At 43.8% G+C, this 15,060-nt stretch overlaps 1 protein-coding gene and 1 long non-coding RNA gene across 14 annotated transcripts in view, besides 3 other annotated features; one reads left to right on the forward strand and one right to left on the reverse strand.

Annotated features, from left to right (window-relative positions):
- The window catches only part of SUMF1 (sulfatase modifying factor 1), a 432,784-nt gene extending 430,270 nt beyond the window's left edge, over nt 1–2,514 (reverse strand). For all 13 annotated transcript variants that reach the window (XR_007095664.1, XM_017006254.3, XM_017006253.2 and 10 more), the window contains exon 1: nt 2,221–2,514. Coding sequence is in view for 12 of the 13 variants with exons in the window: in XM_017006254.3 (XP_016861743.1) it covers nt 2,221–2,490 (270 nt within the window). In the remaining variant the exon portion in view is untranslated. The remainder of the gene's footprint in view (nt 1–2,220) is intronic.
- LOC124909340 (uncharacterized) lies at nt 2,069–4,644 on the forward strand. The gene is made up of 2 exons (XR_007095789.1): nt 2,069–2,753; nt 3,909–4,644. It is a non-coding gene; the product is annotated as an uncharacterized LOC124909340 (long non-coding RNA).
- Nucleotides 2,211–2,390: a silencer, noted in NCBI's record as "silent region_14016". NCBI's record gives its function as "represses an Ori minimal core promoter by ATAC-STARR-seq in GM12878 lymphoblastoid cells {active_cell/tissue: GM12878}" and the evidence as "EXISTENCE:reporter gene assay evidence [ECO:0000049][PMID:35858748]".
- Nucleotides 2,561–2,740: an enhancer, noted in NCBI's record as "active region_19348". NCBI's record gives its function as "activates an Ori minimal core promoter by ATAC-STARR-seq in GM12878 lymphoblastoid cells {active_cell/tissue: GM12878}" and the evidence as "EXISTENCE:reporter gene assay evidence [ECO:0000049][PMID:35858748]".
- Nucleotides 10,342–10,391: a silencer, noted in NCBI's record as "silent region_14017". NCBI's record gives its function as "represses an Ori minimal core promoter by ATAC-STARR-seq in GM12878 lymphoblastoid cells {active_cell/tissue: GM12878}" and the evidence as "EXISTENCE:reporter gene assay evidence [ECO:0000049][PMID:35858748]".

Here is a 15,060-nt window from a genome sequence, read left to right on the forward strand (position 1 = left end):
CCTCCTATGACGTCATTGTCTTGATAACAAGACTGCTTCAGTTTCAGTCATTAAGTTCAGCCCTTGAAGGCTTGAAGGTATATTCTCATCAACCACTAATTTGTTAATAAATTGAGATGCCCCTAAGCATTGTAGAAAGCAGACTATAAGAACTGGCCAAAGATGGCCCATATAGCATCCAGTCAAGACACAAAACCACTCTATAGGGATGAAAAATGTACATCTTGTAAATGTAATCCAAAAGATTCTAACATCCACATCCCATTCTGGAACCCAGAGGAAAATAGAATGTTTAAAAATGAAAAATGTTCAATGCTTGCCAGAGGAATCTAGATAAAATTTTGAGACAGACCAATGTATATATGCAAATGAGATGGCTGCCCTATTAAAAAATAGATAAACAGATGTAAGGATTTCTCCTTAGAAAGAGGGACAGACTGGCTTGGCGCGGTGGCTCACGTTTGTAATCCCAGCACGCTGGGAGGCCAAGGCAAGCGGATCACAAGGTCAGGAGATTGAGACCATCCGGGCCAACATGGTGAAACCCCATCTCTATTAAAAATACAAAAATTAGCTGGGTATGGTGGCGTGTGCCTGTAATCCCAGCTACTTGGGAGGCTGAGGCAGGAAGGAGAATCATTCGAACCCAGGAGGTGGAGATTGCAGTGAGCGGAGATCGCGCCACTGCACTCCAGCCTGGTGACAGAGCGAGACTCCGTCTAAAAAAAAAAAAAAGAAAAGAAAAAAGAAAGAGAGATTGATTATCAATTACCAGGCAAGTTAGAGAGGAATTAATATCAAGTATGGCCAATACACACTAAAACAGTAATCAGGAGTCTTCAACACACAAAAGATAAACAGTACTGCAGGACATGCTCTAAGGGTAACAGGAAAAAAAGTAAAGGCCAAAAATTATACAGGATGGAAAAACAATGAGAAGCCCAGGTATCAACCTCCTACACTCTACACCTGAGAGACTAAATCATGGTCCTGACCCCATCACCCTCACAGTCCAGTTGGGGAGAGACATCAGCAGAAAAACATCTTTAATAATTGTTATGTCAGAATAAACACATAACTACTGAGGCAGGATACGGAAATATTGAAGGGGAGAGAAAGAGGAGATCAGGTAAAACCTACTGTGGATGTTACCTCTCACCTAAGTCCTAAATATTGGTCAGGATTAACCCAAAGGAAAGAAAAATGGAATGGGAAAAGGATAGTGTCTGCTAAGTAAACAAGAAGGAGCACTAGTTTAGGAGTCAGAAGACCTGACCTTTAGACCCATAAGTTGTTTCGACAACACATCAATATGCAAAATACCGGGCAGACAGATTGAAGTAACAGTTATTTCTTTCTTTCTTTTTTTTTTTCGAGACGGAGTCTCGCCCTGTCGCCCAGGCTGGAGTGCAGTGGCAAGATCTCGGCTCACTGCAACCTCCGCCTCCCGGGTTCCAGCAATTCTCCTGCCTCAGCCTCCCGAGTAGCTGGGATTACAGGCGCCCGCCACCACGCCCGGCTAATTTTTGTATTTTTAGTAGAGACGGGGTTTCGCCATGTTGGCCAGGCTGGTCTCGAACTCCTGACCTCGTGATCCGCGCGCTTCGGCCTCCCAAAGTGCTGGGATTACAGGCATGTGAGCCACCGCGCCCGGCCAGTAAGTTATTTATATATCCCGGCACCTAACACATACAGGCGCTAAGCAAGACAGATAAATAATAGCAATAAAACAACTACAGTTTGCTTAGCCCTTCCTAAGTGCTAAAGTGCTAAGAATAGCAGGATAAACAATTCAAGCCCTTGTCCTCAAGCAGAGTGTACTCGAGGAGACTACAGATAAGTATACAACAACCCTGGTGAAGATACTGAGACCCAGGATCCTAATTTATTCCGTTAATAAGAGAGGAAATGGTGATTTAAACCATAATTTGATTGCCTTAAAATTATGAGATCCTCATTAAGAGAACAGGTTGGAGGGAGAAAGAAATAGGGGGTAAAGAAGTAACAATAACCCTCAAACCAAACTCCCTAATGGTCAATTAAATGGAGTCTTCCGGTGAGGCACGGAGAAGGAACTCCTCATACGGGAACAGCAGGTGCTCGATTTGGGGTGTGGTTATAACCTTTACTTCCCTTCCTACTAGTGCCTTGCTTTGCCTACTCCAACCCCGTCCAGGAACCGAGCAGCCCCCACCCGCCTCGGAGGAATCGATGGAGCACCTTTGAGTGCGCGAGTTGCCGCTCTCCGGGTACGGGGCCCGGAGCGTTAGCCTCCCGCGAGTATCGGTGAGCGGCTGCCGAACTGCCATGGGCGCCAGGCCGCTGGGGCGTGCCGCAGCCGCAAGAACCCGCAAGGGACCCCGCGCCCGCACCGGTCCCGGCCTCCTGGCTCCCTGCCGCTCCACACAGCAGCGAGAGCAGCAGCAGCAAGAGGACGAGACCCAGCTCAGGGCAACGTCCACACACCAGCCCTAGTGCGGGCGCAGCCATGTTGTCCCGCGGGCCATGTGACCCGGTTGGTCACGTGGCTGAGCCCTCCTTAAAGGGGCAGAATTTTGAGCTGACTTACGAAGTGACCAGGAGAGTTGCTCTTCACCTTTCTTCAGGTACTTCTTTGGCGCTGCTGCTTGCCTGTGCTAACGTCAAAACGCAGCAAAACACAAAACTCCACAAAACTCAAGGCCTTCCACAGACCGTGCACCCCTTTATGATTTCTTGGTTGAAAAATAACAGTCAAATTTGCTGGGCATTTGGTAAGTGCCAGAGTACTATGCTAAGCACTTCACTTTTTAAAATCTCATTTAATCCTCACAAAGACCCAGTAATGGCGCGCTTGTAGTCCCAGCTAGTCGGGAGGCCAAGGCAGGAGAATCGTTTGAACCTGGGAGGCGGAGGTTTCAGTGAGCCCAGATCCCGCCACTGCACTCCAGCCTCGGCGACAGAGCAAGACTCCGTCTCAAAAAAAAAAGAGAAATACAATACGGAATCAGAATCCGTGGGGACTGGACACAGCAATCCAGGGTTTCACAAGCTCTCCAGATGATTCTAATCCACACTTAAGTTTAAGAACCACTGTTCTACAGTTCCGTAATCGAACAAAATGCAAAACCAAAACAAAAAGAAGATGAAGGAGAAACTTACAGATTAAAAAACAACATAGCAGGCCGGGCGCGGTGGCTCAAGCCTGTAATCCCAGCACTTTGGGAGGCCGAGGCGGGTGGATCACGAGGTCAGGAGATCGAGACCATCCTGGCTAACACGGTGAAACCCCATCTCTACTAAAAAATACAAAAAATTAGCCCGGCGTGGTGGCACGCGCCTGTAGTCCCAGCTACTCGGGAGGCTGAGGCAGGAGAATGGCATGAATCCGGGAGGTGGAGCTTGCAGTGAGCCGAGATGGCGCCACCGCACTCCAGCCTGGGGACAGAGCAAGACTCCATCTGAAAAAAAAAAAAAAAAAAAAAACATAGCAGCCAGCTGCAATATGTGAACCTTATCTAAATACTAATTCAAACCTACTGAGTTCAAAATTTTTGAGATAATCAGGGAAATTTAACCACTAAGTCAAATTATAATATTTGATAAAATTAAGGAATTGCTGTAAATTTTGTTTTTAGGCTTTTAGGAGTAATAATGGTATTTGTGGCTATATTTTTTAAAAGAATCCCCTCACTGAGGTACACACACACTCACTGAGGTATACACACACACACACACACACACACACATATATATATATGGATAAAAATATAGGCAGTCAAAGATTTGCTTCCCAAAAAATGGGTAATCAGGGTCTGGCTAAAGATGAAGCATGATTGGCCATGAGTTGATAACTGTCATAGCTGGTTGATGGGCATCTGGGTGTTTATTGCACTATTCTAATGTAGCATCTGTTTGAATTTTTTTAGCATAAAGAAAAGACCAGCCAGGCACCGTGTCTCAAGCCTGTAATCCCAGCACTTTAGGAGGCCGAGGCAGGAGAATCGCTAGAGGCCAGGAGCTTGAGACCAGCCTGGGCAACACAGCAAGACCTTGTCTCTACAAAAAATTAAGAAAATTAACTGGCCATGGTGACGCACACCGGTGGTCCTGGCTACTTCGGAGGCTGAGGCAGGAGGATCACTTGAGCCTGGTAGGCAGAGGCTGCAGTGAGCCATGATTGTGCCACTGCACTCCAGCCTGGGTGACAAAGTGAGACCATCTCTCAAAAAAAAAAAAAAGGCCTTTTCTCCTTGTTGACTATTTTACAGTTTGCCAAGGCCTTTCACACATTTTCTCATTTGAGATTACAACCACTTGGCAAGAAATGTATTATTACTATACTCATTTCAAAATTGATGAAGCTAAAAGGTCAATGCCTTAACCAAGGTTGTATGTATTTACTGTGCATAATATATAGTCAAGGTCTAGGTCAACGGTAATCTTTGTTCGCCTCCTTCAAATATCAGTCTCAGCACATGCTGTGTCAGCTGCGCTTCAGAGACCTGAACTTCTTTGATTCCTGGTCCAGCTATACCATTAGGCTATAACCTCCATGAAGGTAAGGCAGGAGCCTATTCGTTTGCCACTGTATCAGCAAAATCAGGCCAAGCCTGCACATGATCACTCAGTGAACATTTATTAAATTATGGATAAGTGAATGAACAAATGAAGTAACGATTATCTCTTTCTCTTAAGGGGAATCAAATTGTGGAGAAAATAATATAGGTCTTAGACTCACAAAGAGCTGTGGTTAAAGCTGGCCACTTTACATGAAGTATGACCTAGGCAAATTATTTCAGCTTTCTGAGCCTCTATTTCTTCGTGTGTGAAATGGGAATAATAATTCCTTTTTCTTATAGATTTTATGGGGATTAAATAACACAAAGTATATAAAAGGTGTAGCCTGGTACCTGACATTTAACATATCTCAAAAATAACTTTGCTATTACTAATCATTATGAAAGATGGAACTTTGTTGGTTCTCCAGGACGATCATTCTTTTGTCTCAGGCTAACTTTTTAGTCAATAATCAATGAGTATGAGATCGATGAGAGATTTCTCATCAATATTTTCCACTCTAATATTTTGCTCCTGTCAGTGAGGAGGCTTGTTCTAAAAATTAAGAGGTAAAAAGTCCAACTCAGCCATCAGCTCGTACGAATTAGTGTAATTATATAAAATATCTCTCACCCTCCGTCTCACGTGTGAGCTCCTTCTGCATTTTGTAGCCTTTCTTGCTCCTTCTATCTCATGAAGCTGGGAGGATGAAAGACCCCAGTCCTGAAAGCAGCTTGTCTGCTCACTGAACATCAAAGAGTTCAGCATGGCTACAGTGGAGTGAGCAAGGGGGAGAGAAGAAAGGAAAGGAGATGAGAAAGGTAACATTGGGCCAAGTCATGGATGAAAGGAGAACAGAAAGGTAACATTGGGCCAAGTCATGGATGTTCTGGTAAGCTTTTACTGTGAAAGTTGGTGCCACTGCAGTTTTGAGAAGACATCTGACACTCTTCCTGCTGAGCAGCATCAATTTTCCCTCCAGGTTAGAGGCTTCTCTTGCTTTCTGGTTCCTGAACACAGGGAATGCAAAGTGCCCTGATGGTAGCCATGGCTTGTAGTTCAATGGGACCCTGGTTGTGTCCACAGAAAGACAGCATCCCTTTGTGGATCAGGACCTGCAGCTCTGCAGAGCTCAGAGTTGCAGGGATGGGAGAACAAAATCCCAGTAAGTCAGTAGGAGTAATAGTAAGTGGGGCTACTTCTACTTCCACCTCTTGGTGGAACCTATATATTCTTCCTACGTGGGAACAAGTCTGACATCTCTAATTGAGGGCGTATACTGCATCCTTATAGATGGCCCCATCTTTGCAGGAAATTGCATCCAAGCTGGCGTTTCAGCTGTGCTTTCAGTAAGCCATTTTCACCCTTTATGAGGCCAGCTGCTTTGGGTTCGTATTGTAAGGGATAAAACCACTGGATTCTGTGATCATGGCCTACCCCTGCACCTCCTTCACTGTGAAGTGGGTCCCCGGTCAGATGTCATGTGGTGTAGGAATATATGCCTATGCATAAGGCATTCTGAAAGCCCTCAGACAGTGATGCTGCCTGAGGCTCTTGGAGTAGGAAAGGCACAAGTCAAAATGTTATCTACTTCACACGTGCAGGACACTTGGCTCCACTTTTTGGGTTTGATGAATAATGTTGATATGAACATCCATGTACAAGTTTTTGTTTGCACATGTTTTCATTTGTCTTCATATATACTAGAAGTGGGATTGCTGGGTCATATGGAAATTCTAACCTTTTGGGTTTGGGTTTAAAAAAAAAAAAAAAACAGGATCTTGCCCTGCTACCCAGGCTGGATTGCTGGAGTGCAGTGGCATGATCACAGCTCACTGCAGCCTCAACCTCCTGGGCTTGAGAAATCCTCCTACCTCAGCCTGCAGGATCACAAGCTGCTACCACGTCCAGGTCATTTTATTATTTTTTTGTAAAGATGAAGTCTCACTATGTTGCCCAGGCTGGTCCCGAACTCCTGGCCTCAAGTGATCCTCCTGACTTGGCCTCCCAAAGTGCTGGGATTATAGGTGTGAGCCACCACTCCTGGTCTTGTTTAACCTTCTGAGGAATTGCCAGACTTTTCCAAAGTGGCTGTACCATTTTACATTCCCACTAACAATGTATGAGCCGTCCAATTTCTCCATGACGTAGTTCATTCTTCCACCTCCTTCAGAGTAAAATCTCTTTGTCCTTTATCAGGCCCAGCCTACCCTCAGCCAGGTTATACTGAAACTTGACCCTGGCTATAACCTGGCAGCCACAAGAGGATGTAGAGGCACTTTCTTGGGGGTGGGAGGCTGTTGTTTTTAAGCAGGAAAAAAAAAAAGTTCTGGTATATGCAGTATTTTCCACATGTGGAAACTACTGGTTCTCAGTAGGGAGGCTACCTCTGCGAGCTCCCTCTGGGGTCCCAAAGGAGTCTGCAGAGCCACATTTCACAGGGCCATCCACCTAGATGTCCCTGCCTCACTTTTCAGGTTCCAGGCCCCATGTTTTTCCAACCAGATTCCTGAATTTAGCATAGGAGATCTACTTTGGCTGAGCATCCAAACATCTGTGGTGGAACTCTGGGTTCTGCCGCTCAGCTGGGTCTGCTCTTGCACGGCAGGAGAAGACTTCTTTGCAAACTACCAAAGAGACCCTCTGGCTCTCACACTTGGTTCTCAGCTGTTTATTAACTGCTCTCAGTTTCTCATTATCCCTTGTAGAGAGGGTCAGTGCAGCTTGGTAATAACCAGCCAATTCCATTATCCTTGCATTCATTGTTCCTCTACACTTTTCAAACTCCTGAGTCAGCATGCTGGCACAGGCGTTCCTTTTCACCTGGACATTTTCCCAGGTCACTGCCAGTAACATTTTTAGCAGCTGGGCCTTGTGCCCAAAAATAATCAAACCCCACTCAAGATGGGATCCTTATCACCAGGCAGGCAGTGAGTGACCCAGTCCCCAAACTCCACTTTACCACCTGCTTTCTCAGACTACTCACACTACCAATTGTGTCAGTGTGGTTCCTCTTAAAAAGAGATGCCAAGATGTCATTAAAAATGCAAGAGAAAGCCAGGCATGGTGGTGCACCTGTAGTTGCAGTTGAGCCCAGGAGTTCAAAGCCAACCTGGGTAACCGCGAGATCTCACCTCTAAAAAGAAAAAGAAAAGAAAAAAAAACATTAAAAAGGAAAAAAAGGAAAAAAAAAGAGAGAAAAAAGGAGAAAAAGAGAAAAAAGGAAAAGAAAAAAAAAGAATAAAAAAAAAGAAAAAGAAATGCAAGAAATCCTATGGGGTTGGGGGGAGGGTCACACCTGTGAAACCCCAAGGAGAGAGGGAATAGGAAGGAATCAGAAGGGAAAGCCTCCAAACTGAATACAAGTCCTACCTGTGGAAGGAGGGAGGCAGGAAGGAACATGGAGGAGGAAAAGCCTCTGAGTCTGGTACTGCACTGAGAAAGTCTAGTCCAGGTCAACCAGAAGTCCAGAGCAAAGGCTTCTTATTAGAGGAGTTATGCATTGAGCCAAAATGGTGAACCCTATTCTTCCCACCAGGTTCAATCATTTGTTGGAGCTGCCCAGGAAGAGCGTGGCCTCAGTTGGAACACTGGCCAATCCTACAAGAGCTCTGCTGTGGGCTCTCCATTGACTGTACACCTTGAGGCAGGTTCTGTCTTGAAGAGCAATCTCAGCACATACTCCCGGGCTGCCACACTGTGGCCAAGAAGGTCCTCCATGATCTAGCCCCTGCCTTCCTTTCTGATCTCTTCTTCCATCAAATTGTCCTTTGCTCACCATGCTCTGGCCATGGTATCCTTCTTACTGCTCCTGGAACACATCAAGCACAGCCCTACCTCAGGGTCTTTGTACTTGCTGTTCCTTCTACCTGCAATATCCTACTTTTTTCAAAGCTGGCTCTTTCTTGTCATGCAGGTCTCAGTACAAACCTTATCTCCTCAGAGGAACCTTCCCTGATTCTCAAATGCAAAATAACCCTTTCCCATTCTGCTCTTTTACCTCACCTCCTTTATTGTCTTTATAGCTCTTGTCACTATCTGAAATGATTTCTTTTGTTCCTCTGTCTCCCCATGGGGGCAGCTATAGCATCTTCAGGATTCAATGCTGTAACCTCAATGGCTAGAACAACACTTGGTATGTATAAGTGCTAAGTAAATATTTACTGAATGAATGAATATATCATCCAATGAATAAAAACCTTCATGGTCTTGGTCCAAGTAGAAACTTGCTGCCTGACAGTGTTATACTCACATAGACATTTGAAATGTGGCTTTCCATTTTTACATCCAGGAGGGTTATACTCACATAGACATTTGAAATGTGGCTTTCCATTTTTACATCCAGGAGGGCCTGCAAGATGGATATAATAGTACCCAAGGATTGTATGAAGATTCTCATTAATTCATTAGACAAGTGTTTATTGAGTGTCAACTAGTAGCCAAGCACTATTCCAGGCACTGAGAATACATCAGTGAAAAAAAAACAGAAAAGAATTCTTGCCCTTGTGAAAATGACATTAAATAACTTAAACCATGTGACATACAACATTGCTTGGTGCATAAGAATAGCTCAAGAGTTTTTAGTTATGATTATTTCTATTGTCAACCCATTTAATATCTAAACTGAGCATTTCAAAGTATTTTAAAAAAAAAAAAAAAGGACACCTTCCTCTATACTTAGAGAGTAAAAGAGAGAAGTCCAAATAATTAGAGGTAGAAAAAAATTTTTCATATGGTTCTTTCTTTGGACTGTCTTTGGAGCCCTTTATTGGTGAAATTATCTGATTGGAAAGCCTATTAATTTAGGCTTTTTAGTTTTACTAGTTTGCACTGTAGTTTGTGCTGTGGAGAAAGTTATGTACAGAGAATGTTTCGTTTTGGTTTGTTCATTTCCTCTTTTCTTTTTCTTTTTTTCTTTTTTTTTTTTTTTTGAGACGGAGTCTCGCTCTGTCGCCCAGGCTGGAGTGCAGTGGCGTGATCTCTGCTCACTGCAAGCTCCGCCTCCCGGGTTCACGCCATTCTCCTGCCTCAGCCTCCCGAGTAGCTGGGACTACAGGCGCCCGCCACCACGCCCGGCTAATTTTTGTATTTTTAGTAGAGATGGGGTTTCACCGTGTTAGCCAGGATGGTCTCGATTTCCTGACCTCGTGGTCCACCTGCCTCGGCCTCCCAGAGCGCTGGGATTACAGGCGTGAGCCACCGCGCCCCGCCCCCTTTTCTTTTTCAAATGCTTCTGGTCTTACTTTCCCCACTCCTTGAAAGCACTGGGGTGGGGGTGGAGGGCATGGGGAAAGACTTCCTTAAAGAAAATGCAAAGAAAAGATACATTTTAAGAATACACAGGACAGAAGCTGCAGACAACAGAAAGATTAGTTTCAGAAGGCACTGGCACATTGTGAAAAACAGAACCAGGAGTTGGCTTAGAGGCTGCAGCAGCTCTGGGACCTCAGCAGCGGACTTTCTTGAACTTCACTCTGCTGCTCTCCTGGTTCACTCCCCAGCTCTCCAAGGTCTGCTTTTCCCTGCACACTTATTTTTTCTCTTCCAGTTGGCTTGCCTTCCTCCCCCCTCCTCGTTGTCTTTTTGTCATTGTTGTTTTTGGCTTCACAGCTTCTGCTTAGTCACAGTTCCCGTTCCCAGCATGTTCCTGACCCTTCATGGCCTCAATGCTACTGCACAGCCTCATTCAGCATCACTGTTTCCCCATTCACCTGCCACAAAGGGGAAGCCTGGTTTGCCCAGCTCCTCTTTCTCTCACCACAAGACACCATAGACCAATAGGAAGCCTATGCTTTAGCTGCATTTGAGTCACGTAGCTATTTCTGGTCCAATCAGTTGCAATTGGGTCAGGCAAACCTGTAGCTTGCATCAGACTCACTTAGGGGCCTTCTTAAAGCAATGATTGCTGGGGATGCCACCATATTCAGTACGTCTTGGGTGGGACCCAAAAATTCACATTTCTGACAAGCTCCAAGATGATGCTAATCCATACATTTTGCAAACTACTGCGTTCACAAAATAAGCCACTAGTTCTACCCCTTACTACCTGTGCTGGGTGGGGCACTTTTCTCTTAGCAATGCTAGCAGCATTACAGGCATTGTGATGGACAACTCCAGTACAGCCTGTAATTATTCTCCTCCAAACTTACCGTTTGTCTTCCTGATGTTCCTGGGCAGTGGTGTTTGGAGAGAAGGGTGAGAAGTAGCCAGAACGGCACCAAAAGAAATTTAGAGCAAGTGAAAGATGCTTTATGTGCCTTTGGAAAGAGAGAGGAAGAAATAATAGAAGAAATCACAGTCATGAGTCTCTTTTAGAGCCTAGATATCACAATGTTTGAAGTCAGATAAAATGAGGGAGAAAAATGGTTCCCAACTTTTTCACAAATGAGAGCTCAATTGTAGAGAGGAGATATATATGTCTTTGTATATATATATATTTCAGATGTTCATTCAATAGCAGTTTTACGTTTAGGGTTCTTTTTTTTAGAAAATGGAATGTCAAGATGCTGCTGTGAGGCAGTCCATTAGCAAAGGAAACTGCATATTAAATCACATCAGAAGCACCTGTATATATTTGAAGGTACAAATATACATCACCTTTTCAGACCTCAGCTAGTGCTTAACATAGGAGTGAACTCTCAATCCTTGTAATTACTCTGTGGTTTCCCAGGGATGTGTGACTAAGGGGATCCCCTAAGGTGGCTTAGGGGTTCAGTGAGGAAGTAACTTCTTTCCAGGAAGACTTACTTCTACTTAGAGCAGTCTTGACTAGTGTAATACAAAGAGTCCTAGAGTTAGAGTCAAAGACTGGACTTTGGGTCCTGGAATTTATTTAGGGGACTTTAGGTTTAGTCACAAAGCTTCTGTAAGCCTGAGTTTCTTCTTCTTGCCTACTTCATAACAGTGCTCCATTGAAATCAAGTAGGCAGTTATAAGAAGGAAAATAAACACTAGATGAGATTATTATGGTATTACTTTGCTTATAAGACAAATTTCCATCCTAGTTTATGGTTCTGAAATCTAGACGTATTTTTTGAGCTATGGATGCCTATAATGTGGTAGTACTTCCTCTTCCCTAAAAAAAAAAATGTTTTTAAAGCAGAGGTTTATATTTTAGCAAATGGTCTTGGAACAAAGGAAAAATGGCTTTATATATTCCTCTAATTGATAAATAATATATGAATTCATTATCTCTTTTTTTCCTGTCTCACCTGTAAATATGCCACCTTACATGGTAAAAAGGACTTTGCAGATATGATTCAGTTAAGGTCCTTGAGATGGGGAGATAACCTGGATTATCCTGAAGGTCTCAACGTCATCACAAGAGTCCTTATAAGCAGGAGAACCCCTCCTGGCTGTGGTCAGCAAGATGCAACAATGTGGTCAGAAAGCATGGAACAATGGTCAGAAACATGCAACATTGTTGGTTTTGCACATGGAGGAAGGAAGCCAAGGGCCAAGGAATGTGGGTGGCTGTCACAAGCTGGGCAAGGCAAAGGAACATTTTCCTCTAGAGCCCCCAGAAAGGAACACAACCCTGATAACACTTTGATTTTGGCCTAATGAGCCTCAGATTGGACTTCTGACCTATGAAACTGTAAGATAATACATTTGTATTGTTTAAGCAACTAAGTTTGTGATCATTTGTAATGGCAGCAAGGGGAAACTAATCCAAATATTTCAGTTCCACCATCATCACTAGGTGCAGGCTGGAATTCAGAGGCAAAAGGGTCAATAGATGTGTGCCCTCCATCCTCTTGGCATCCTTTGGGGAGTCAGGTAATGTGCTTTGGCTATGACACAGCTGGACCACAGTGGGACTGTGACCAGAGGAGGGACTCTGCCCCTCAACCTCTCACCATGCTCCCTTTTTGCCAGGAAAGTGGGAGAGTGGTCTTGCATGGGGTAGAGGTGGTGATAACCATTTGGGGCTCAGGCACAGATAGTCTGAGTTCAGATGTCAGCGTTAATGGGAATTTTGAGAAATGCTAACTGTCCTGACTTGGAGATACCAGGGGAGTCTCTGAAACACCATGGGGTTCTCAGCCCTCCCACTGAGAGATAGGAAACCTCGGGTCCCAGCAAGTTCCTGGCCAAAAACACAAAGTTTTTGGAGTCATTTCCCAGACAATCTTTATAGTTCTCTGGTTACATGTGTGGTCTTTGTGCATGTAAAGCATAGCAAGGTGCAATTAATTCTCTAACTTCAGCATCCATCAATCACCTGGAGGGCTGGTTGGAACATAGATTGCTGGTCCCCACCCTGGGAATTTCTAATTCAGTAGATTTGAGGTGCAGGTTGAGAATTTGTTTTTTGTTTGTTTGTTTTTTTTTAAAGACAGAGTCTCACTTTGTCACAGAGGCTAAAGTACAGTGGCACAGTCATAGCTCACTGTGCAGCCTTATGCACAACTAATTTTTAAAAATTTTTTTACAGAGATGGAGAGTCTCATTCTGTTGCCTGGGCTGGTCTTGAACTCCTGGCCTCAAGCAGTCCTCCTGCCTTGACCTCCCAAAGAGCTGGGATTACAGGTGATGAGCCACTGCCCAGTCCAAGAATTTGCATTTCTTTCAGTTTCCCAGGTAGTGCTGATTTGCTGCTGGTCTGAGGACTACCATTTGAGCACCATGGAAATAGTGGATAAGAGTTTAGGATTCAGGCCATCCTTGCTGCTTCCAGGTTGAATGATCTTGGGCGGCTTACTTAAATTTTGGAATTCTTAATTTTCTTCATCTATCAAATAGAGTAAATAAAACCCGCCTCCTAGGATTGTGATGAGGATTAAATATGATGATCTATGTGAAGGACTTAGCACATAGTAAGACCTTAATAGTTTCTATTATAATGTGTTACCATTATTATAATTAATGACAAGTTCTTAAGTAGCGTACAAGGCACCCAGAGGCACACCCATGGATAAGCCAACAGGGATGATAAATGTCCGCTCACAAACCGCTCACCTCACAACAGTGAGAGCTTTCTCCAAGTCTCCTGCCCATGGAATGTCATTTAACTTTGTAACTCAAAGGACTCCCAGAGGAAAGAGTCTGAATATAATGCTTTACCCACAAAACAGAATGAAGAGGAAGCAGAAAATTTTCAAATATTTTGTGAAAATTTGTCGAACAATAGAAAGAGGAAACTCATTTGGGTGTGATGCAATGGCTACAGAAATGAATAGACGTAAACTGGGCCAGGAGCAAACTAATTTGGAAATAATTTCGGAGAAGAAAAAGGAACTATGCCATGCTCTTTCCTCTGGGAAATCTGACAAGAAAGTAAGAACTGGGTTTTTTTCTCCTCCTTGTTCTGGGATAATTGGTATTATCATTATGTGAAAAAAGAAAAAGCCACCTGAAGGACCCCATTTTCCTTCCACTATGAGGAGTTCATTCTCTGGATCACAGCAGCAGCAGAACAGGGTAGGTCACTGGGAAACTAGGACAGGCTTGTGATCTCCCCCATGGAAAAGTGTCTCTTTCCTGGTGACAATTGGGCATATCAATGGACAATAACCCAGTGGAATAAAACTCTACTGTAATAAACAGTGAATTTATTATAACATAACATATAATACACTAAGTAGCATTAGGACTTTAATCATGCCTTTTGTTTAAAAAAATTTTTTTAAATAAAGAACTAGGCTGGGTGCAGTGGCTCCCGCCTATAATCTCAGCACTTTGGGAGACCAAGGCAGGTGGATCACCTGAGGTCAGGAGTTTGAGACCAGCCTGGCCAACATGGTAAAAGCCCGTCTCTACTAAAAATACAAAATTTACAAAATACAAAAATTAGCCAGGTGTGGTGGCACGCGTCTGTAGTCCCAGCTACTCTGGAGGCTGAGGCATGAGAATCCTTGAACCCTGGAGGTGGAGGTTGCACTGAGCCAAGATTGCGCCACTGCACTCCGGCCTGGATGTGTCTCAAAAAATGAATGAAAGAATGAATGAATGAATAAATAAATAAATAACTGGTAAAGCGAATAGATAGAAAAGTTTGCTAAATTTATTTAGTAGTTTAAATCCCAGTAATCTGAGAGTCAACAGACTGAACTCAAGCCTGGGGTCAGGAAGCTCAGCCTCTCATCCCAGCATAGTCTGTCTTTGGTTGTGTGATCTGGAAGGCTCTTCAGGTGTCAGTTCCTTATCAGTGCAAGAAGGGATTGAGTAGATCACTAACATTTCTACAATTTTCATTATCAAGCATCCTTTTATAAATGTCACTTTTCAATCAAAAGACTTCGCATTGCGAATAACTTTGTATAACCAGCTATTTAATTAAGTATCTTTGCTTGCAAGGAGTAAAGACACATTAATAAAAATAGACTGTAGTATTAATTAATAATAGTTCTCATTTATTGGTACTTACTATGTGCTGAGCACTTAGATTTCATGTGGTTCTTTCAACAATCCTATGAAGGAAGTTCTATCATGATGCCAGTTGGACAGATTAGGGGAGCGAGGCTCAGAGAGTTTAAATGACTTGCCCAAGTCAGAAGGCTAGTAGGTGGTGTGGTAAAC

The sequence above is a fragment of the Homo sapiens genome, chromosome 3 (assembly GCF_000001405.40).
Source record: "Homo sapiens chromosome 3, GRCh38.p14 Primary Assembly".
In the NCBI taxonomy this organism is placed as follows: domain Eukaryota; kingdom Metazoa; phylum Chordata; class Mammalia; order Primates; family Hominidae; genus Homo; species Homo sapiens.